This window comes from Homo sapiens, chromosome 17 (genome assembly GCF_000001405.40).
Source record: "Homo sapiens chromosome 17, GRCh38.p14 Primary Assembly".
Classification (NCBI taxonomy): domain Eukaryota; kingdom Metazoa; phylum Chordata; class Mammalia; order Primates; family Hominidae; genus Homo; species Homo sapiens.
In genome coordinates, this window is record NC_000017.11 from 81918260 (window position 1) to 81939432 (window position 21173).

The 21173-nt window shown below is 61.5% G+C and overlaps 2 protein-coding genes and 2 long non-coding RNA genes across 22 annotated transcripts, besides 8 other annotated features; 2 read left to right on the plus strand and 2 right to left on the minus strand.

Annotated features, from left to right (window-relative positions):
- Window positions 11-12985, minus strand: MAFG (MAF bZIP transcription factor G). Of its 7 annotated transcripts, none has more exons than XM_047436070.1 (3): window positions 12963-12985; window positions 4891-4955; window positions 11-4798 (listed from the first exon to the last, which is right to left on the minus strand). In XM_047436070.1, the coding sequence occupies exons 2-3, from the start codon at window positions 4924-4926 to the stop codon at window positions 4346-4348; spliced, it is 489 nt and encodes a 162-aa protein (XP_047292026.1). In that variant the 5' UTR covers window positions 4927-4955; window positions 12963-12985; the 3' UTR covers window positions 11-4345. The 7 variants fall into 7 exon arrangements, with proteins under 7 accessions (XP_047292026.1, XP_047292027.1, NP_002350.1 ...); XM_047436071.1 differs by lacking the exon at window positions 12963-12985 and adding an exon at window positions 11801-12907; NM_002359.4 differs by lacking the exon at window positions 12963-12985 and adding an exon at window positions 9269-9476.
- Window positions 117-166: an enhancer, noted in NCBI's record as "active region_12984". NCBI's record gives its function as "activates an Ori minimal core promoter by ATAC-STARR-seq in GM12878 lymphoblastoid cells {active_cell/tissue: GM12878}" and the evidence as "EXISTENCE:reporter gene assay evidence [ECO:0000049][PMID:35858748]".
- Window positions 4640-6252, plus strand: MAFG-AS1 (MAFG antisense RNA 1). The gene is made up of 3 exons (NR_186500.1): window positions 4640-4973; window positions 5820-5955; window positions 6160-6252. It is a non-coding gene; the product is annotated as an MAFG antisense RNA 1 (long non-coding RNA).
- Window positions 4650-5849: an enhancer, noted in NCBI's record as "MED14-independent group 3 enhancer chr17:79880785-79881984 (GRCh37/hg19 assembly coordinates)". NCBI's record gives its function as "activates an origin of replication core promoter dependent on BRD2, BRD4, P300/CBP and CDK7 cofactors, and independent of MED14, by STARR-seq in HCT116 cells {active_cell/tissue: HCT116}" and the evidence as "EXISTENCE:reporter gene assay evidence [ECO:0000049][PMID:35650434]".
- Window positions 6547-7502: an enhancer, noted in NCBI's record as "H3K4me1 hESC enhancer chr17:79882682-79883637 (GRCh37/hg19 assembly coordinates)". NCBI's record gives its function as "activates a minimal SCP1, AML or CMV promoter by ChIP-STARR-seq in naive H9 embryonic stem cells {active_cell/tissue: H9 hESC(naive)}" and the evidence as "EXISTENCE:reporter gene assay evidence [ECO:0000049][PMID:30033119]".
- Window positions 8010-8099: an enhancer, noted in NCBI's record as "active region_12985". NCBI's record gives its function as "activates an Ori minimal core promoter by ATAC-STARR-seq in GM12878 lymphoblastoid cells {active_cell/tissue: GM12878}" and the evidence as "EXISTENCE:reporter gene assay evidence [ECO:0000049][PMID:35858748]".
- Window positions 8880-8929: a silencer, noted in NCBI's record as "silent region_9169". NCBI's record gives its function as "represses an Ori minimal core promoter by ATAC-STARR-seq in GM12878 lymphoblastoid cells {active_cell/tissue: GM12878}" and the evidence as "EXISTENCE:reporter gene assay evidence [ECO:0000049][PMID:35858748]".
- Window positions 9310-9399: a silencer, noted in NCBI's record as "silent region_9170". NCBI's record gives its function as "represses an Ori minimal core promoter by ATAC-STARR-seq in GM12878 lymphoblastoid cells {active_cell/tissue: GM12878}" and the evidence as "EXISTENCE:reporter gene assay evidence [ECO:0000049][PMID:35858748]".
- Window positions 9550-10069: a silencer, noted in NCBI's record as "silent region_9171". NCBI's record gives its function as "represses an Ori minimal core promoter by ATAC-STARR-seq in GM12878 lymphoblastoid cells {active_cell/tissue: GM12878}" and the evidence as "EXISTENCE:reporter gene assay evidence [ECO:0000049][PMID:35858748]".
- On the plus strand, window positions 9570-12494 carry MILIP (MYC inducible lncRNA inactivating p53). Its single transcript, NR_015454.1, has 2 exons — window positions 9570-10186; window positions 11217-12494. It is a non-coding gene; the product is annotated as an MYC inducible lncRNA inactivating p53 (long non-coding RNA).
- PYCR1 (pyrroline-5-carboxylate reductase 1) lies at window positions 14132-19041 on the minus strand. 13 transcript variants are annotated; one of them, NM_001282280.2, is made up of 8 exons: window positions 19003-19041; window positions 18489-18602; window positions 17864-17934; window positions 17078-17257; window positions 16667-16888; window positions 16394-16486; window positions 16067-16230; window positions 14132-15117 (listed from the first exon to the last, which is right to left on the minus strand). In NM_001282280.2, exons 2-8 carry the CDS (start codon window positions 18553-18555, stop codon window positions 14955-14957), a joined length of 960 nt encoding a protein of 319 aa, NP_001269209.1. In that variant the 5' UTR covers window positions 18556-18602; window positions 19003-19041; the 3' UTR covers window positions 14132-14954. The 13 variants fall into 13 exon arrangements, with proteins under 13 accessions (NP_001269209.1, XP_005256438.1, XP_011521886.1 ...); XM_005256381.3 differs by having other exon boundaries at window positions 18983-19041; XM_011523584.4 differs by having other exon boundaries at window positions 18969-19041.
- Window positions 18805-19414: a silencer, noted in NCBI's record as "silent region_9172". NCBI's record gives its function as "represses an Ori minimal core promoter by ATAC-STARR-seq in GM12878 lymphoblastoid cells {active_cell/tissue: GM12878}" and the evidence as "EXISTENCE:reporter gene assay evidence [ECO:0000049][PMID:35858748]".

The window sequence follows — 21173 nt, forward strand, 5'->3', positions numbered from 1 at the left end:
CACCTGCCAGTCTCTTTAAAAGGTTTATTGATCATATACAAAATAAAGAAAACCTTATATATCACAAACATACACTATGTACAGCAATAAATACCCGGGGGGCCAGGCCCAGTGCTGCCCCTCCTGGACAATAATTTAGCAATAAATACTGCGCAGGGCAGGGGTAGGGCACCAAGGCCACTGCCCTGCAAGAGGTCAGGCCCCTGCCCGCCCTACACGAAGTGTGAGCGCTCGGGCCTCACCCCGCATCCAAACCCCAGCCCCTCCTCACTTAGATCTTTAATAACCTCCATCCCACCCCAGCAGATCCCGGGGTCTTCTCCCACACACACAACCTCCCCTGGCTAGACCTAGGCAGGGCAGGCAGGGACTGATCAACTCTGCTTGGACCCACCTCTCAGCGCCAGGAGAGCAACAGGGCTGGACACGCGGGCAGCCCTTGTCCTGTTGCCAGGAGAAGGCTTTCTGTGCCCACTCCCGTTTGGTTAAAGGCTTCAGGGACTAGCAGATTGAGGGGGTGGGAAGAAGGGCAGGGCTGGGACACAAGGTTGCTGGAGGGGCCAAAGCCCAACTGGGGTCACCAAGAACAGGGAGGTCTCACAGTTTATCGGGGACACACTCTAGCTCAGACTCAAGGGACACCCATGGTATCAAAGCTGCTGCTCCAGGGGCAGGGTGGAAATGTGTGGGACTGGCCCAGCAGGTATGGTACACACCCAGGACACAGGCCAGAGGCAGGACAGGCATTAGTCTCTCAGACACGCCCTGCCTCTGTGTGGCACTGATTATGTACTCTACTCTCCCGACCTGCTCCAAGGCCAGACAGCCAACAGGAAGGCAAAAATACACCAAAAAGAATTATTCAGTGGCTTCTGGGGGAAAAATCGTTAATGTGTTGGTTCCTTTCACCAAACCACAGCCTAAAAAAGTAACTCACAAGATCCCAGAGCGGAAACGGTGCAGCAGGCTGCGGCTCCGACTTTCCAGATGTGGATGGGCGCTTTGGCCAAGTGGCCACTCCAGAGGGAGGCAGCAGGGACAACATGGGACCTGACCATCGTCCCAAAGCAGGCTGCAGCCGCTCAGGGCCGTGGGCCGGGCCCTGATCACCAGTCAGAAGTGTACACACATATCTGAAACATGCACCAAGAGCTGAGCCAGCAACACCAGTGCCACCCCGAGCAGCAGCCAGGGGCCTCACTCTCCTGGTGAGAGCTGACCTGTCCCTGCTGGGTATTCCTCTGAAATCTGAGCGTCCATGTTAGGATAAAAGAGGAGTTGGGGCAAAGTTAAGGTGGAAGGGAAGACATATATCATGGTTTACTTGGCGGACAAGTTTGAGAGACCTGGCCTTGGCCAAAGCCCTCGATTCGCTGTGTCAGAAAAACTGAGGTGAGAAGAGACCACCACCCTCTCCACCACCCTCTCAGTAGGAAAGCGGGATCAACAGAGATCAGAAGGACAGCACACTCACACCTGCACATGAACACACCATCTATGTCAGGAAATCCAGGGGAAGGGGAAGAGGGGTGGAGTGGCTCCGCAGGGCTGACCTGACAGGGGACAGGAACACTCCCCTAGACCCAGGGAAGTCGCCCCAAATCCAAAGCTCTTGAAAGGAGGTATGGCCTCGAAACTCCAGAAGCCTCTTCTGCCAACGCACCGAGGACCTGCACCTCCCATTCAGCACGCGTCGACCCTTACACCCTCCTCTTCCACACTCCCTTCGCCTCCAGGTCTGCAGCCTGGCAGAGGTGCTCAAAATGGATGGCCACCCACAGCCAGGACAAAAGTGGGGGCTGCACAAGGACAAGGAGGGCCTGTTTCTCCCCACTCCGAGGCAGATCATGACGTTTTCTTCATGGATACTTATGATATGATTCCAACTAACGCCTGGATTCTACTTAGACAAGATCAGACTGAGGGGAGGGGGATGAAGTCACTAAATGACAAGAGTCAACAGCCAATATTTCCATTTTCAGGCTGACGCAGGTAGACACAGGACTTGTCTCTGAACACCTCGAGCAAAGAAAAGCTCATTAACATGACAAGTGTTGATGGTGCCTCCCTGTTCCCATCCTGTGGGCACACCAGGCCAAACTATTGGATAAAAATCCCACCATCCATAGGGTTAAGCCCTGTTGGGCCACAGTTTTTCATCTTACCCACATCTGTGTGCTTTACAGAAGTCTGGGCCCCACAGAAAAGAAACCAGCAACCCGGTGAAAGGCCAGGGCTCACATGGCCAGACACAGGGCTGTAGCCTCTTGGAGGTGGGTAGGGGCACCCCCTCCCCATCATATGCCTACAAGGAGCCTCCTGAGCCCAGCCAGGAAGGGCAGCAGCCTCTGGCGAGGAACTGAGAGCAGGAGGCAGGCTGCGCCCCCACAGGGAGGCACCTCCAGCAGAAGCCAAGCAGCTGATCCCTGGAAGACACAGATCCCAAAGGGAGGCAGAAGGCAGGCCCGAAGCCAAGAGCTGCCAGCGTGGACCAGCGGAGAAGAGGGACAAGACCCGGCCCTGGAGACTGTAGCCCTTGTCTGCACTGGTGGAGACCCCCAAGGCTCTCAGAGTGAGGCAGGGACAAGGAAGAAAGGGCGGTGCCCGGTGGGCCCCCACCCACTCTGCCTGGAAGCACCACCCGCAGCATGGAAACACCTCAGGGATCAAGCGGGCGGCGAGACCTGCAGCCCACGGCGCGGGCAGCCTATAGGAACAAAGCTGAGGCCAGAGGAAGACGGCCAGGGAACGCTTGGCCATAGCCCTGTGGCCACCCACAGTGACTCCCTCATCCCTGTAATGCCACCACCCAAGGCCAGAGGTGGTGGGTGTGGAAGCAGCGTGGGGCGCCCCAAGGGACCCCAGTTTCACCTACCCCGCCACTAGATCAGCCCAAGCCCTAGACACAGATGTAGCCAAGGCTCAGTGGAGGGGGGCATGACAGAACCCCATGTCTCACCTCCTACGGACCAGGAGCTGGTGGTGGGCACAGATTCCTTGAGCTCTGACGCAGCAGGCGCCACTTGGCACCCCAGCCCAGGTCCAGCAAGCCAGCAGAAGCAAAAGCACAACTAAACCCAAAAAACGAACACGGGAAAACAGACACAAGAAGTGACACCCACAGGTCAAAGGTCACCAGAAGCACCAGCACTTTACCGCTGCACAAAACCTCACCAGGCACGGACGACACCACGGCACCGGCAAGAGACGGAAGCAGGAAGGGCAGAGGAGTAAGTCACTTTCGGTACAATTGCAAAAGATATCAAAGAGGACGGCCTTCTGGTCGGCTCACGGCTTGGCTTTTTTTTTTTTGTCTTTTTTTTAAACTAAGTTTTATAAATAATGTCTGATAACTCTGTGTATATAAAAACTAAACTCCAACAGCCACAAAGAGGTGTCCGTAAGTTTACAAGAAAGGGATTTTTTTTCTTTTTTTTTCTTTTTTTTTTAACTAGCAAAGTTTCTATTATACTTTCTTCCCTTTTCCATTCATATGGTCAAATGGTCTTCTTGCTTGTTTTTTTTCTAAAAGACAGTTTTATAAATACTCTGCAGCTCTTTTTTCTTTAACTTTTAAACATATAATTAATTTAATAACTTTGTAAAAGGAACTTCTCTCTTTTAAATAAAGGGCTATATAACCACACAAATAGGTCATGTAAACAGTGACACGGGACCCATCGCAGGGCACACTGGACCCACCCTCACGTTAAGCGCACAACCAGAGATTTGGTCTTGTTCAGTGCAACGGGTCAGGCCTGAGTGCACAGCCCCTGGGCCCAGCTGCACGCCCCCAGCACCACTGCGCCCAGGCTGGTGGTCCACCCATCAGGGCCTTCAAGCCCGCCCTACTCTCAGAGCAGAGCCCATCTCTTCATGCTGGGCTAAGCTGAGCTGCTCCCCTGGGGCTAAAGAGAGTGAATCCTTCCCAGCCCGCGAGCCTGTGGCCACTCGGGAGTGGAGGGAACACTGGGACCCTCACTGCTCGGGGACACGCGAGGCCCAGCGTGCCTGCTCCTTCTCTCTCCCGCAACTCTCTCTAGTCCGTTCCCACAGCACCAACTCTGGACTCCAAGCCTGCATGGCCCTGGTACAAAAGGGGTTGGGGCGACCCCACGTCACCGCCGAACTGACCAATCCCAACATACAAAACACACGACGACAATGACGAGATCAAAGGGGCTCAGCCCGGCGCCCCTGGGGTACAGGTTGTGCTTTGCAGGGAAGAGAGAAGGGTGGGGAAGAGAGGGAGGAAAGAGAAGAGAAGGAAACAGAGGGACAGGGCAGCCAAATTCGCCATGTGCCTAGTGGCCCCGCAAAGACCCGCCTGGGCAGACGCGCGTCCCTACGATCGGGCATCCGTCTTGGACTTTACTATTGTGATGACGCTGGTGGCGGCCACCTTGCCTGGGACGAGGGGCCCCAGGCCGGCGGCAAGGGGGCCCCGGGCTGGCGCCACGGGGCTGCGGGCCACCGTCCGGGCGAAGGTCTGCAGCGCCTCGTACTTGGAGCGCAGCGCGTCGAGCTCCAGCTTCATGCTGGCGTTCTCTGAGGCCAGCTTCTCCACCTCCTGCTGCAGCTCCGCCTTCTGCTTCTCCAGCTCCTCCTTCTGCGTCACCCGCTTCACGCGGCAGCTGGCAGCGTAGCCGCGGTTCTTGAGCGTGCGCCGGCGCTGCTTCAGCTGGACGATCTCCTCCTTGGACAGGCCCCGCAGGTGCTGGTTCAGCTCCCGCACCGACATGGTCACCAGCTCCTCATCCGTCAGGCTGGTGCCATTCTCACCCGGCTCCCGCTTCACCTGGGGCACAGTGCAGGTGGTCACAGGCCAAGCGGGCACGCCCACTGTGCCCCCCGACCCCAGCCCACAGGCTCCTGTCCCTGCCCACTCACCTTCAAGGCCTTGTTTCCTTTATTGGGGGTCGTCATAACCCGGGGGCACAGCGAGCAGGCGCTCTCTGCAAGACACGGAGCAGGTCAGTACCCTGGAGACCACCCTCGCCGCACCCCCCCCCCCCCGCCCCCGGCCCAGTTCACAAGAGCCCTTGCCGCACAGCCCGCCCCAGCCTGCTGTCCAGGTGCCCAGCCCCCAATACCTGATAGGAGGCAGCCCTTGGCCTCTCCCAGGCTGGGCTGAGCTGCTTCCTGTCCACCCTGCCCCTAGAGAACCAGGTGGGAGGTCAGGAAGGTCTGACGGGAGAAGGGGAACTGAAGGCTGTTAGGAAGGCAGGCGCAAGACAAGGGGCAGGGGAGAGATTAGAAGGAATAAGACGCGGGAGAGGCAGGCCTAGAAGGAAGCCGGGAGCTTTAAAAATAACCCCGGCACTGCCCAGAGCGCGGCTGTTCCTGGCGAGTCACGCTGACTCAGCACATTGCCTCTGCCTCCCCGCCGCGCCCGCACTCCCTGGCCCGCCAGCCAACAGCGCCCCACGAGAGCCGCAGCCCCCAGCCTGGCCAATAGCAGGTGAGGGCCAGCCAGTGACCCTGTGTGTGCATCTTCCAGGGTCCTACCTTCTACAGCCACCTCCCCTGAGCCGGCCTCGGACAAAGCCCCCTGCTCCCTGGGTGCACAGGGGCCCCACGGGGGACCTGGCCAGAGAGGAGGCTACAGGGAACCCCGAGTCTCCCAGCCTCCTAACTTTGAAAAGCTGGGGGTGGGCCGTCCATCTAGCTCTGGTCTGTTGGCAGGACTGACCAGGGAGTTCCCCCACCTTCCAGGTGGCAGGCCATCAGCTGGGAGGAGCCTGGCCCGAGGCCCCTCTAGACCTCCCAGTCGGCCTCCTCCACTGATGGAGTAACCATCCTGTGGCTTTGGGTTGCAGGAAGCAGCCCCTGCCCCACCCCATCCAGGGTATTTCACAAGGGCTCCCACAGTGAGCCACCCCGGGCCTGCCCAACGTGAAGGCTGGCGGAGTCAGCCCCTCCGAGCTGCAGCCTGCTCTCTGGTCCCTGCCCCGGGTGAGTGCCCACAGGGCCAGGGAGCAAAAACAAAAGTGCTGGGGTGGCCGGACTTAACAACCAACTCTTCCCCACTCGGGGTCCCTCCAGCACTCTGCTCTCACTTTCTTGCTAAGGATGTTTCTGGGATTCCCAGCTCAGCCCAGCTCCCACCAGACCCTTGGGCATGGACCCCCGCCTCATGCTCCATCCCCCACTTTCCAGGTTTGATGCAGACAGATGGGAGACTCCTCCAGAGGAGCTAGGATCACTTCAGGAAATTATGGGCTGGGGGGCTTCTTACTCTCATCAGGGGAGCTGAAGTGTGGCCAGGCGGATGCACACATCCTCACCAGGCTCAAGACTCCACCTCACCCAGCCTGGGACCAGGAGGTGAGGCTGCAAGCACAGAGCAGGGAGGGGAGGCCAGAGACCCCTCCCCACAGCCAAGCCAGCTCAGAGGCAAGGTCCCGAGGCTCCAGCCACTGGATTCTTCCAGATAAAGGATGGGGAAGACCTGAGCTGGAGGTCAGAAGGCCCACAGGAGCCCTTTCCTACACGTCCGGCACAACACTGCCCCAGGAGACAGGCCCTCAGCCAAGCATGGAGGGGCCCCCCAGCCTTGAGTGCAAGTCAGGGTGCAGAGACACTGCCCTGGCACCAGCTTCTCCCACCCCCATCGCCCCCACCCCTGCTGCTAAGCACAATGACAGTGGTGACTTCCTGAAGAGATCACACGGAAAAGTGCCTCCTCGACAGATTTTGCCCTCCGCAGAAGGCCTGAACTCAGCACAAGTGCAAGCCATCGCCTCCTATCAAAGGTGCGCCGGGGGGTGGGGGAGGGGCAGCCCTGAGCACAGCCAGTGCGTTCCAGGCTCCTGGCCTGGCCTCTGGACCTGGGCTGAGAGGGACCATGCAGGGATCCCAGGAGCTGGACTGAGGAGAAGCTGCCCCCGCCCTCCTCCAGCCCTCAAGGCTGGGCAGAGCTGGGGCCTGTCATGCACCCTCTGCTCCCAGAGGCTAATAAGCCCACCTCACGCAGGAGGCACAGATGGTCACGGCTCCGCAACCTGCGAGGGTACCTAGGCCACCCATTCACACTGAGAGCCAGGAAAGGGAGGGAGATTTGGGAGCTCCGTCTCCTTTGGCTAAAGTAGAAACTCCCGTGCCTGAACACAGACAGCCCCACCTGGCTGCAAAGCCCAGCGGCCGAAACTCCCCGGCAGTCATGGCCTCTGCTCCATAAGCTCTCAGCTCCTGAAAGTCACTCTTTGAACAGAACCTAAAACTTAGTTTCCACTGATGCATAAGTGACTGAGAAGATGTACATAAATGGGCCGCGCGGTGGCTCACACCTGTAATCCCAACACTTTGGGAGGCCGAGGTGGGTGGATTACGAGGTCAGGAGATCGAGACCATCCTGGCTAACACGGTGAAACCCCGTCTCTACTAAAAATACAAAAAAATAGCCGGGCGTCGTGGTGGGCGCCTGTAGTCCCAGCTACTCGGGAGGCTGAGGCAGGAGAACGGCGTGAACCTGGGAGGCAGAGCTTGCAGTGAGCTGAGATCGCGCCACTGCACTCCAGCCTGGGCAAAAGAGTGAGACTCCGTCTCAAAAAAAAAAAAAAAAAAAGATGTACATAAATGTCCCTCCAGGACCCCAAAATTTTCCCAGGGCATCAAACTCCAGGCCAACGGTCAGCTAAAACATTGAAACATCTGGAATCTATAAGCCCCGGGGCTCACTGAGAGTGGACCTGTGTTCTGTGTGTATGTGTGGGGGGTGCTCACTGAGAATGGACCTGTGTGTGTGTGTGTGTGTGTGTGTGTGTGTGGCGGGGGGCGGGGGGCATCCCTGAGGGCAAACCACAAAGTAGCCTAACCCAGCCATGAAATGAACTCCTGGGCAAAGGAAGTCAACCTTCGTGAATCTCCACATACCCAAGGAAAGGTGGCTCTGGCCACATCACTCCCAAGCTGCCACTTTCTAAGCGTCCTGGGCTGCCAGGCCAGACACCCAACAGGGCCACTCCCTTTGCTAACTTCACACAACGCTGAGACCCCACTTCAGGTAGCGACAACTTTAGGGTGGCTGGGTGCTGCGTTCTGCCACCCTGTGCCATCCACACCAGCCCATCTGCTGCACCCCAAGGCTAGGCACCCTGAAGCTCCCACCACCTACAGTCTCAACCCAGACTCCAGGGCCAACTGGGGAGAGAGGCTGGGCTGCTTCCTCCCCTTTGCCGTTTCCTGGTAGAGCTGCCCCTGCTTCCTCCCTGCCCAGCCCACTGTCACCCAGGGCTTGGTACACACACCCCTCTTTCTCCCAGGACCTCGATCTCTGGCCAGGGGCTGTCCAACCAGGCCAGTCCCAGGGAAAGCCGACTTCCCCTTTGGCTAGCTCGGCCCACCGAAGCTCCTCCCCTCCCTCACTCAGGGAACTATTTCCCAGTTTGGAAAACTGCTCCAGACTTGGGACCAGGACCAGCTGCCGGAAAAGAGCCGCCTGGGAAGGGGTGGACCGCCCGGGGCTTCACCTTTGACCCCGGGAGAACACCTGCAGCGAGCCACCCCCACTTCCTCTTCAAGCACCCCTGCCTTCAACTGGATCGCTCGGCGCTCACTTAAACAGGCACCCCAAGGCGCCGGGCCTGGCCCCCTCCCACATCCCCACGGCTCCCTCCCACCTCCCGCTGGCGGCCTTTTAGTCCCCGAGGCCCCTCGCTCGAATCCCCTCCGGTATCAGCTTGAGCACCGAGTGACCTCACGCTGATGACTCAGCAAGTCTCCCTCCGGGCTCTGGCACGCGACTGACGGAACCCGAGCCCCAGCCAGGGGCAGGGTCTTCCCCGCAGCACCCCCATCGCCGCCCCTCCTCCCGGGCTCGCCGCGGACCCCCGCGCCGGGGAGAGCTGACGCGGCCACCGGATGAATCAGCAGCTGCGGGCCGGGCCGCCGGGCCCTGGCGCGGACCCCCGGGCGCCTCGCTCGACCCCACCCTTTCCTCCCGCCGTCCAGTGCCCCTCCCTCCAGGACGCCCGGGTCTCCGAGTCCGCTCCGCACTCGCCCGGCTCCGCGGGTCCGCCGCCGCCCGCGGCCCACCTCCAGTACCCGGGCGCCAGGGGCAGGAGGAGCTGGCTCCTGACCGCTGGGGAAATCGAGGCACGGGCCGCCAGCAGGGTGCGCGGCAGACCCGAAACCAGCGGCCCCCGCCGCCGGGCCCCCAACCGCCCGCCTAGCTCCGGGAGGAGCCCTGCCTGCGCGCCCCCTCGGCCCCCGCCGCCCCCGCCGCGCCGCCCCCACCGCCCGGGCCCGCCGCCGCAGCCGCACTCACCACACTGCGGGCCCGGCGGGCCGAGGCCGGGGCGGGGCGGGGCCGCGCGCGCTCCGAGGCCGCGCGGGGCAGGGACCGGCGCGAGGGGTCCGGGCCCGGGGCTCGGAGGACTCGCCGCCTGCGCGGGCCGGGCCGAGCGCACTGGGAAGGCCGGGCCGGACCAGGCTCGGGATCCGCCGCCGCCGCCGCCGCTCCACAGACGTCACATGATGTTTGGTCACGTGGGCTCCATTCATGAAGCGGCGACGCGGCCGGCCGGCGCTTAAAGGGGAAGGCGCGGCGGCGGGAGGGCAAACTGCGCATGCGCAACCCGCGCGCCGTCGTCCCTGGCAACACTGGCTGCTCTAGCGCCTGGCGGGGTCTCACGGGCGGGCCTGGGCGCACGGCCAAAGCGCCAGGTCTCCACCCCCAGCCCCCGGCGTCCTGCAGCCGGAGCCTGCCTCGCCTGGCTCCTGCGCCCGCCGTCCAGGGCCCCTGTCCAAGCTCGCGGACGCCGGCGGCGTTTTCCAGCTCGAGTGCTCAGCCTAGGGCAGGCTCTGCGTGCGCCCCCTCGAGTGCCGGCCTGGGCCCTGCCAGGCAGAGGCGCTCTTGCGTCAGGACGGCGCCGCCGGGGCCCCGCGATTCCAACTCGGGGGTCCCGGAGCGGCGCGGGGCGGGGACGGCCTGGCAGCTCCCAGCAGCGAGGGGCGATCCCCGCCCGCGCAGCAGACCCCGAGCTGCCCAGGCCCTTCCTGCGCCACGTGTACCCAGAGCTCCGCCCGGGGGAGACTTCGCTGCTTGTTGGAGATGCCCAGCGGTAGGGGGCGAGGACTCGGGAGGAAGATAAACGGGGGATCCCGTGTCTGGACTTTCTCCTCCACCCTCTTCCCTTCGCAGCTGTGAATCCTGGGAGGGGAAGGGTGGCCGCCCCGCCAGCAGGTGAGCGGGGAGGAAGGGGCGGGGACGGGCTGTGGGGTCCTCCTGGGCTCCGTCCATGAACAGGCCGGCCCCAAAGTCCCGAAGCCGTGAGGTGTAAGGCTCAGAAGCGTCCCTCCGCCTGTCCCTGCCAGACCCCAGGAACTCCTCCGAGCCCCACAGCACGTTGTCGCCGTGTGCGCTGTGGGGCTGCGTGTGGTTCTTACGGTGGTGTCCTTAGTCGTCGGGGACCTGCTCCCCCTGCTCTGGACACAGCCCGAGTCTCACAGGCTCTAGGGGCATGATATGGTCCTGGCGTGGCTTCCGAGGCCTCAACCTTAGTGTACAAAACAGCACACGGGGCCCTGAGGCCAGGAGTGCAGCTCCGTCTCCTGCCTCTCCTCCCTGCTCGCGTCCTCATCCTACCACACCACACTGGGCTGGCGAGGGGAGGGCGCCCTGAGCCGCTGGGCATCCTGCTCCGCGGGAGGGTGAAGTCGTGCATTGCTGGGCGGTGAGGGCTAGGTCCACACAGCGGGGACCTGGCGGGCCCCCGAGTCTCCTCAGGACCCGCCCTCCGTGCCACACAGCGGGAGCTGGAGCCACGGTGCCGTCAGGAGCCAGGGGTGATTGGCCCTGGGGCTGGCAGCCCCCACCCCGCGGGCAGACGCTCACCAGGCTGTCCCCACTCACTCCCACACCCCAACTCCTCCTCACAGGGTCGAGCCCGCTCTCATTTGCACCTCCGCGCGAATTTGGAACGGATTTATGAATCGTCCTCACTGCGGTGCTGTCTTCTCCTGGGAAGGAGCCTCAGTCCTCCCCTCCCTGGGCACTGTCATAGAGATGGGCAGGACGGGCTGGGGAGGACACTCAGGGAGCTGCCCAGGCTCCTTTGCTGCCCCTCACCCCAGAATCTTCTTGGGGTGGGTGGGGTCCCAGGCACCTGCAGAGTAGCATACGGTGGCTTGTAGAAAGAGTATCGAGGGAGGGGAGGTGCCACGTGGAAACAGCCCAAGCCAAACCCCTAGGACCTGTCTCCCTGTCCTCCTAGAGAGCTGAAGGTGTTCCGTGGTCAGTGAGGGCTGGCACTGGCTCTGCACGAAGATCTCCTCACCTCCCCAGCGGCTCCTGGCCAGCTCCCCACGGAGAGCCCAGGACACTTGTCCCTGGACACAGTGGTGCAGCCATGCTTGGGCCAAACCATGAGGCCACCAGAACCGCGAAAGGCTACTGTACTGAGAGGGATACTGCGAGAGAGGCCCACAGGTTTCCAAGCATCCCTCTCACTCCGCACACTCATCTCCACGACCGGCTTTAAGTGCGGCCTTGAGGCCTGGCTCCCTGTTTGGACTTCTCTGCACCTCCAGGAGCTCACTTCCCGTCACAGCTGGATGCCTCCTCCCGCAGGCACCTCCCGGGCATCCTCCCGCCCCAGGCTGCACCTTCTGTGGGACTGGCCCCCGCAGGCACCTCCCGGGCACCCTCCCGCCCCAGGCTGCAGCTTCTGTGGGACTGAGCCCCGCAGGCACCTCCCCGGCATCCTCCCGCCCCAGGCTGCACCTTCTGTGGGACTGAGCCCCGCAGGCACTTCCCCGGCATCCTCCCGCCCCAGGCTGCAGCTTCTGTGGGACTGACCTTAAGACCCCATCGGTTCCTCCTGAGAGCAGCAGATCTCAGCCAGATGCTGCCGGGAGGGAGGTGCTAGCGTCCACACCCAGACGGGTCCAGTCCAGCCCTGCTCTCCCTGGTCTCCAGGCAGGGCCCTCCCAGGGTGGACATTGCCCATCTCTGCCTGGCCAGGGGCTGCTGACCCACTGGTTCCAGAGTCTGAGCCTGTCCTGCACAAGTACCATGGACAGGGGTCAGCCGGGCACTGAAGAGGCGTGGCAGAATTGGGCAGGGCAAGGGCCCCAGCTGGCAAGCTGGAGTCAGGGCAATTCCAACCAAGAAACTGCGGCAGGCCGGGTGCAGTGTCTCAAGCCTATAATCCCAGCACTTTGGGAGGCAGTGGGAGAATCGCTTGAGCCCGGGAGTTTGAGACCAGCATTGGTAACATAGAGACCCTATCGCTACAAGAAAAAAAAAAAAAAAAAGCTGGGCATGGTGGTGCACACCTGTTGTCCCAGCTATTCAGGAGGCTGACGTGGGAGGATTGCTTGTGCCCAGGGGTTGCAGGCTGCAGTGAGCTGTGATCATACCACTGCACTCCAGCCTGGGCGACAGAGAACCTCTCTAAAAAAAAAGGAAAATGAAAAATAAATGGGGGCAGAAGCTGAGCCAAGCAGAGGCGGGCAGCTCCTCCTCCAGGGCCCACCTGGCCTGCTGGGGACTCACTCCAAACCGCTTCATTTTTGGAGGGGGCTTTCCAGGACTGAGAGGTGTCAGAGCTGCTGGTGACAGGAGCAGGGAAAGCACCATCTGGCCAGCCCCCAGGGGCCCCCTGTAGGGTTCCTCTGCCTGGCAGCGTTTCGACGCTTCTTGGCAGGATCCTTGGGTCCTTGGCCCCCGGCACCATCTCCCTCCTTGACCTGCTGAGGCCCACATAAAACATGTTGCTACTTGGGGTGGGCCCGTCCTCACGCTCTGTGGCTTCCTGGGTGTCCACCTCCCCACAGCCTGCCTCACCTACCTCCCCAGACTTCTCACGCACGTCAGGAGCCTCCTGTGGACTCTGGCTCTACCTGCCTCTGGCCTCTGCTTAATCAGGAACCCACAGTGGGAAAGCTCCTAGGGCCCGCCTGCTGAAGCAAACGCCTCCTTGCAAAGCCCGTCTGCAGCCCCCCACACACCTCCTCACCTCCCTGTGCTTCCTCTGGAGCCCAAGACCAGTCTGCCTCACTTGAAACCCGCGTCGCCTGCTGGCTTCCCTTGTGTCCCCGGACCAGAAGCACCTTTGGCAGCCCCGCGCCCCTCGTCTTGCTCTGCGTCAGCACCTGAGAATGGGCGCTAGCAGGGAAACTGGCTTTGAGGGGAATGGTCGGGGCAGCTTTGGTCCTGGGACAGGCGTGTGGCCTGTGGGACAATCTCTTCTGGGGGCACCTCTGCCCAGGTGGGAGGAGTTGCCAGGGTCTCCCAGCACTGCCAGGCGCTTTGCTGGGGCAGGGGGTTATTCTATTGCTCACAGCCCTGACACAAGGGCATTCCCCACCCGCCCTGATGCCCACATCCACCCATACAGGAGGGGGCCTTCAGGGGAGCCTGCAGGGACTCCCGGCCCAGCACCGTCCATCTGTGTCCCCCGCTTAGCTCCTGCACTGCCAGATCTCAGCCAGACAGCAGGGACTCACCCCACCTACCGTCCCCTTTGTGCCTGGGTGTGGTGGGTACTCGTTTTATGGGGAGTGGCCAGGACTCTTGCCAGGGGGAGAGTGGCGGTGGAGGATGTACCCATGCCATCTGCCCTGCCGCAGCGTTTCCTCCCTGTTCCCCTGCATGTCTTCCCTCCCTCGGGGGAAACGCAGGATTCTGTTCCCCAAGCGCCCTCTACACGCCCCATATATACCAAGCATGGTTCTGCAGTGAGCCTATGGGGTCTCTGGAAATGAGTTCCCGGGATAAGTTCCAGAAAGTTGCTCAGCTCTCCTAACCCCTGCACACCCTGGAGCCCCCTGCATACCCTGACTCCTGGCGCACCTGGGACCCCCCTGCACACCCTGACACCCTGCTGCTACCCAGCCCAGCTCCCCTCACACAGTGTGCACTGCCTCTGGAGGGAAGGGGGCCTCATCTTGCTGTCTCCATACTCAGTAACTATGTGTTGGTTGAAGGAACCAGAGCACCCCTGGCCCTTGTAACCCAACCCTCAGCAGCTCCTCCAATCCTGTGGGCCTCCTGGAATGGGTGATTGTATGTGTCCACTTGACTGGGCTACAGGGTGCCTGAGTGTTTGGTCAAACATTATTCTGTTTCTGGCAGGGGTGGGGAGGGGTTGCATGAGACTAACATTTGAATCTGTAGACTTTTGCATTAGATTACATTGACATTTTAATCAGTAAGGCAGATGCCCTCCAAGATGTGGGCGGGCCTTGTCTAATCAGTTGAAGGCCTCCACTATTCCACCCACAGTAACCACCCTCCCACACAGGCAGGGCCTCCCTCCTCATGTGGCAGACAGAAGTCAGGACACTGGGGGCTGGAAACCAACTTATAAAACTGAAAGGGCCAGGACAGAACTGATAGCACCCTCCCAGGGAGGTCAGGAGCAGGAGGTGGTGGCCACAGAAGTTCACCAGCAGCCCAAGGAGCCCTTTCCCCAAATGTCCATGGGATCTGCGTGCTTGGCAGCCAAGAGGGGCTGTGGCCCTTCACGCTGGACTTGGGATGCCTGGACCCTCTGGCCCTTCTCACACGGGAAGGAGAGGTTTCTCCCTGAATGGAGGGCAGGGAGGGGCCGGGAGGGGGCGTGGGATCCCACCTCTGCTGAGCCTTCACAGAGGGGGTCCTTGACCTTTGCTCTCAGGAAGGAGCCCGTGCCAGCTGATACTGGAGTAGGAGTGGGTGAAGACCCTCCGGGCTCCCGAGCTCTAGAGGAAGGTGGTCCTGACATGGTTTGGGAGCAGAGAAGAAAGGAGGTTGAGGTTGGGGAATCCACCCCTGTTCTGGGCTGGGAAGCACTTGCAGACCACAGAGATTTCCAGTGGGAAGTGATGTGGCCCCTCCCTGGCTATGTCCCTGGCTGGCCCCTGCGCTGATCAGAGCCACAGAAAGTGGGCCACTTTGGGGACCCCCTAGTCCCCCTAGTGACAAGAGAAGAGAAGGTGGTGGCAGGATGGTGGTCAGGCAGGACGTGTCAATCCTTGCCCGCTGGGGCCAGGCTGCGGGGGAGCAGCTTGGTGTGGCCAGAAGGTGACAGAGCGGTCCCTGCAGGGGAGTCCAGCTTCACCTTGTCCAGGATGGTCTTCTTGATGGCGGCTGGTGACACCTGCTCCTGGTCAGCCATGGACTGCAGCTCCCTAGAGAGGCAGGGAGAGGTTGGCTTTGGAGCACAAGCGTGCACCCAGGAAGAGGGAGTGAAGCCCACAGCTCCCAGTGCCAGTCAGCCCTGGGCGATGCTGTCACCCTCACCTCAGCACCTTTATTCCCCTCTGCCAGCGACACGCCCCCACACAGCTGCTGGGCTCCTTCTCACCTCATTCGAATCAGCTCAGCATCACCAAATCTCCCCGCAGTGCCCCCCAGACCTGAGTTCTCGTGGCCCCACCACGGGATGTGGGTTTACACCTGTCTCCCCTGCAGGCTGGAGGTGAGGCCAGGCCCCTCGTGTTCCCCTCACTGTTACAGGGTGGCACTCGCAGAGTCTGAGGGTGTCTGGACTGGAGAGTGGGCAGTGTGGCGAGAAAGACGTCCTCACCCACCCTGCAGACCTGAACTGGGGACAGCGGCTCCCAGCCTGGCTCTGCCTTTGACCAGCTGTGGGATCCCAGGCAAACAGCAAACTCTGTCTTTCTCTTGCTCTTTGCTTCTTTCACCTTCCATGGAATTTTCCTTGTGCCTGGATGTTGCTGCGTGTCCTACTGGTCTAACTTAATCCCACAGCGAGGGCAGGAGGAAGGTGGGCCCCCACAGAAGTTTCCTAATGTGGCTGGCCACCCCGCCACCCCACTGGTGTGGCCCCTGGCTCAAATGACACTCCTAGCTATGACAATGGTGAACCTATGTGGGGAGCACAGGGCACAGCATCCGGGTCCCTCTATGGATGTTCCCTCCTCGCAGGAAACGGAAGGTGGGGAGGGGCACTGCCCACAGTAACCCAGGGAACCTCGGGGCCCCCTGTGTCCTGCGCAACACTGGGCTGGAGCTCAATACGTATCTGCTGAGTGCGTGAATGAGCAGATGTGTGTGAGAGAGGCCTCTGCCATGCAAGGACTGGAGACCAGGGAAGCGGGCAGCGCGGGGGCCCACCGTGTGCGGATGCAGGAGGCCTCCACAGCGTTGATGAGCAGGGAGCGGAAGCCCCCACTCTCCAGCACATGCAAGGCATGGATGGTGGCCCCACCAGGAGAGCTGACGTTGTCCTTGAGCTGGCCTGGGTGCTGTTCTGAGTGCAGCAGCATCTTGGCAGCCCCCTGCAGCCAGAAGAAAGGCTGACGGCTGTGGGCACGCACCTGCCTCTGCGGGGCACTGCCCCAGCCACTGTAGCACACACTGACGCCCCACTTGGCTCCTCCCAGTGAAGCCCCAGGGCCCCGCAAAGAGTGGCCCCACCAGAGGGTCAGGAAACACACTGACCAGGAGGGCCTGGGCCCCGAGGCGGACTGCCAGGCGCCTTGGAAGTCCCATCTTCACACCCCCATCAGCCAGGGCATCCAGGGCTGTGAATGCCTGTGGGGAGAAGGCACCCTGAGCCTCTCTCCTGGGCTTCTCCTCCTTCCCTTCTGGGCAAGCTCCAGTTCCCACAGCCTTGGAGCCCTCCACCCTGGCCCTCCCAGGGGGAGCAGGGACAGATGTGCCCGGTGGTCCCGGGAAGTGCCCGCCGCCGCCAGCTTCCCCCGCAGTCCTTACGTAGGCGGGGCCGCTGCCACTGAGCCCCGTGACGGCATCAATCAGGTCCTCTTCCACCTCCGTGCAGAAGCCCACGCTGCTCAGCAGCTGCTCCATGAGCCTCCCGTCCTCCACCTGGGCGTGCGTGCCTGTGGCATACACGGTGGCCCCCTCCCGCACCACGACTGGAGTGTTGGTCATGCAGCGGATGACCCTGGGGGCTGGCCGAAACGCTGACAGCTTCTGGAAGAGAAACCAGCGTGTCCGTCTGGCCATGGACGCAGTGCCTAGATGCACTCACCCCACCAAGCAGTGCCCGAGCTCTCCCAGTGGGCCGGGACGCTGCAACCCTTTTGCAGATGAAAACTGAAGTACTGAGGGCCCGGGCTCTAGACAGCCCCTCTCCACACCCCACTGGGCCTGCGGTGCTACCTTCTCAATGGAGCTGATGGTGACGCCGGCCGCGCAGGACACCACAATGTGTCTGTCCTCAATGTCGGCGCCTATTTCATCCAGGATGAAGGGGATGATGTGTGGCTTCACAGCCAGGAAGAGCACATCACTGTGCTGCACCGTCTCCTTGTTGTGGGGTGTCAACTTCACCCCCATCTTCTGCAGGGGCAACAGGTGGGCTCAGCCTGGTCCCGTGGCTGTCTGTACCCCCACCAAGCCAAGAGCCCCACAGGTAGAATGGCACAGAGAATGCTGGAGTTGGGGGTGGGCAGGGCTGGGGGCTCAGGGCTCTGACCACCCCCTTGATGACCCTTCCCACCCAGAAATGGAGGAAGAACTCTGTGTGGAATATGTCCCTGCTGCAGACAGAAAAGGACCCTCCATCCATGCCACCAATCTGCCCCCAGCCTGGGACTGCCGTCCTCCAGACCGGGCTCTCCACGTGGGAGTGGTGGTCTCAAGCAGCCCCCAGGTGTGTTCCTTGGCTGCCAGGCTGTGGCCCCACCTGCCAGGCCCCCAGAGGACCCCTCGAAACTTTAACCCTGTGCAGGGAACTCCATTCCAGAACAACACCCTCCTATCAGCTGTACACACGCCCACCACCCAGGTCCCAAGAGCAATCAGCAGGGCGAGGAGGTGGGGTCCATGAGACCCCAGCCCAGGGCCCCTGCCCTCACTGGGGTGGGGGCTACAGCACACACTCCTGCCTCTCACACCCAGCCCCACAGGGACTCAGTCTCCTTTCTCCCTTTCATCTGCACCTACCCTGAGAGCAGAAACTGTGGCCAGGTCCATGTCTGGGGAGCTAGCCATTATCTTGTGGGCAGCCAAGACGCCTGAGGGGAGAAACAGTTCCTCTTCAGTTCTTTATTATTTTTTTTTTTTTGAGACGGAGTCTCGCTGTGTTGCCCAGGCTGGAGTGCAGTGGCGCAATCTCGGCTCACTGCAAGCTCCACCTCCCGGGTTCACGCCATGCTCCTGCCTCAGCCTCCCGAGTAGCTGGGACTACAGGCGCCCGCCACCACACCCGGCTAATTTTTGGTATTTTTAGTAGAGACGGGGTTTCACTGTGTTAGCCAGGATGGTCTCGATCTCCTGACCTCGTGATCCGCCCGCCTCGGCCTCCCAAAGTGCTGGGATTACAGGCGTGAGCCACCGCGCCCGGCCGGAAACAGTTCCTCTTCATGGCTAGCTTTGGCTTCCCTCCCTCCCCATTCCCAGGAAGAAGAGTGAGACAGCACAGGTAAAGCCCCAAACACACAGAAGTTGCCAGTTCCCGCAGGACTCAGGCCTTGTGACCCAGCACCCACCTTCAGCCCCCAGCCCTGCAGAAGTGGAAAGAGGCCAGTCTCTCCCACTGGGCCTCACCGTCCCCCACCTGGGGGCCTACCTGCTGCTGTGAAGCCCTTGGCCAGGGCAAAAGCCAGCTGGCCAGCGCCGATGAAGCCCACGCTCATGCTGTCCGGAGACCCCTGGCCCAAAGCCCCCACAGATGGCACCGGCTCTGCGGGACGAGACCGGCAGGATCGAGAGCAAGTTAGGGGGGCAGTGCCAGCCTGGCCGCTCCTCCCGCAGCCGGGTGCCCACCTCCCCTGGTCCCAGCTGGTCTAACTTTCCACTTTGCTGTCCGGCCCGTTAACTGCTTCGGGGCCCCCAGTCAGAGCGGCGGTGCCTGGCCTGCTGCCTAGGGTCCCGCACCCACTGGAGGGGTGGAGGTTCCGCAGAAGAAATGACTGGGAAGGGGGAAAAGTACGGGGAGAGGGAGGGCCCGGCGCCTAGGGGTCCCCCGTCTGGGTTCCCACCCCGCCCAGAACTGGGCTACCGTCGCGCCCCACCCGGCGACCGCCGCCCACCATTCCCGGAGCCCGACCCCAACCCAGCTACCGTGCGCGGGTCGTACCCACCCCTCAGCGCTGCGGCCGCCACGCGGCACCCGCACCCAGGCCCCGCCCCCGTCGCGCCAGCGAATCCGGGCGCGGCCGCCAGGCGCTGGCCAATCAGAGCGCGCGGCGGCGCCAGAGCGGTTGCATCATCTGCGCGCCCCTCCCACGCCGACCGCCGGCCCTCGCCTCTCTCGCGCCCCGGGATCCCCCGGCCCCCGGATAGACACCCTCTCCGGCACGCGGTCCCCTGACCCGCGCTCCTCCTGGTCGCGCTTCCCGGGACCTACACGTGGGGTCCGAGGACGCGGGCGGAGGGGGCGGCCCGATTGGGGCCTGTGAGGGGCCCTCCACGCAGGGCTTTGTCTTGGGCCACCCGGACACGGACGCGTCCAGCTGGCGTCCCTGGGCGCGCGGCCGGCTCTCTCTGGGAATCAGTCCCTTCTACTGTCATCGAGTTTGGAGAAGCCCGGCTGTACAGCGTTTTCTTTCCTTTTTTTTTTTCCCTTGGGGGCAGAGTTGAAAATAATTTGCCAAGTGGAAGCATTTTAAATATATCACCATTTGGGCCGGGCGCGGTGGCTCACGCCTGTAATCCCAGCACTTTGGGAGGCCGAGGCGGGCGGATCACCTGAGGTCAGGAGTTCGAGACCAGCCTGACCAACATGGTGAAACCCCCGTCTCTACTAAAAATACAAAAAATTAACCGGGCGTGGTGACAGGTGCCTGTAATTCCAGCTACTCGAGAAGCTGAGGCAGGAGAATCGCTTGAACCCTGGAGGTGGAGGTTGCAGTGAGCCGGGATTGCGCCACTGCACTCCAGCCTGGGCAACAAGAGCGAGACTCCATCTGAAAAAAAGAGAGAGAGAAAGAAAGGAAGAAAAGAAGAAAAGAAAAGAAAGAGGCATGACAGTGCGGCCACAGGTGTTCCTCTAACTGGGCACGCAGCGGTGCTCCACTAAGCAAACGAAGGAAGCCCACCCCATCATGCCCCCACTCCCACGCAGCCCGGAGCATCCTCCAATACCCAAACCTCTCGCCTGCCTGGGTTTTAGGGGGAGTGAAGCTCCAGTCACTTCCCCCTGAGGACATGCTCAGAGTTCATCTGATTCGGGCCTGCATCTGGGGCTCTGGATAGTCAGGGTCCCTGTCGGTGGCCAAGATTAAGGGCGAAGTCAGAAGGGATCACTGGCAGCCCATTCCCCTGCCAAGGGGTGAGAGGAGCTGCCTTATTTTTTCTGTGCTGTATCTTAGATGATGACAGGCTATTCTAGCACATCATTTCAGAAGGCCTGGGATGCTTCTGCCACAGCGGCAGGGCCACGCGTTCTGGCTATCTGTCTACCTGGTCCCCCCACCGTGAACACGTAATGACCACCACCAACACTGGGAGGCTGCTCTGTGGTGGCCATGGGAAGAGCTTGTCCAGATGGACAGCTCAAACCTGGGGCACGGAGGCTAGCATCGCCTAGGCGCTTTGAGAGCCAAGCTCCCCAGGCTGTTACAAAATCACTTTTCCCCAAGTGATAACAGCAAGTAACACTTTTACCTAAAAACCCAAAAACCCAAAATGGACAGCCCTCTGGGCCAGGGATACACTGTCAAAAGGACTGACTCTGAAGGAAGTCTCCCAGCCCTGGGTCCCCTCCCCTTCCTTTCTGTCCCTCAGGACCTTTGCGAAGGTGGCAGAGGACCACCGGACAGGGAGGAAATTGGGAAGTTGGTGACAATTAACTCGTTTCAGAATTCTGGCCACATGAAAAAAAGGAGAGAAGGAGGCTGGGTCCTCTCCAAGACTGGTGCCCAGGTCTCCCCTGAGTCAGGAAGCAGGTGATCCCTATGCCCCCTCTGTATCGCCCTCAGCCAGCGGCAGGCCCTGAACAGCTGACTGCCCTCATCTGGGATCTGCCATTGACCCCAAAACACCCACCCCCTCTGAGTAAAGGATGTCGGCCGGACCCTGTTTGTTGGCTAACGTGAGCGAGACCCCTCCTCAGCGGCCAGTGAGGCCCCTTCCTCACATTCTTCATGGCAGCAGCACAGGCCTGGCTGTGGGGACCGCCGTCTAAAAGGAGCAACAGTGCGTCTGTCCATCGCTGTGTCCAGGGCCTCTCGAGACCCCCAGATGGGCGTGGGGGAGGAGGTGAGTGCTGCGGGCCTCTGGGAGGGACGGGCATGAGCCACAGGCCCGTCGG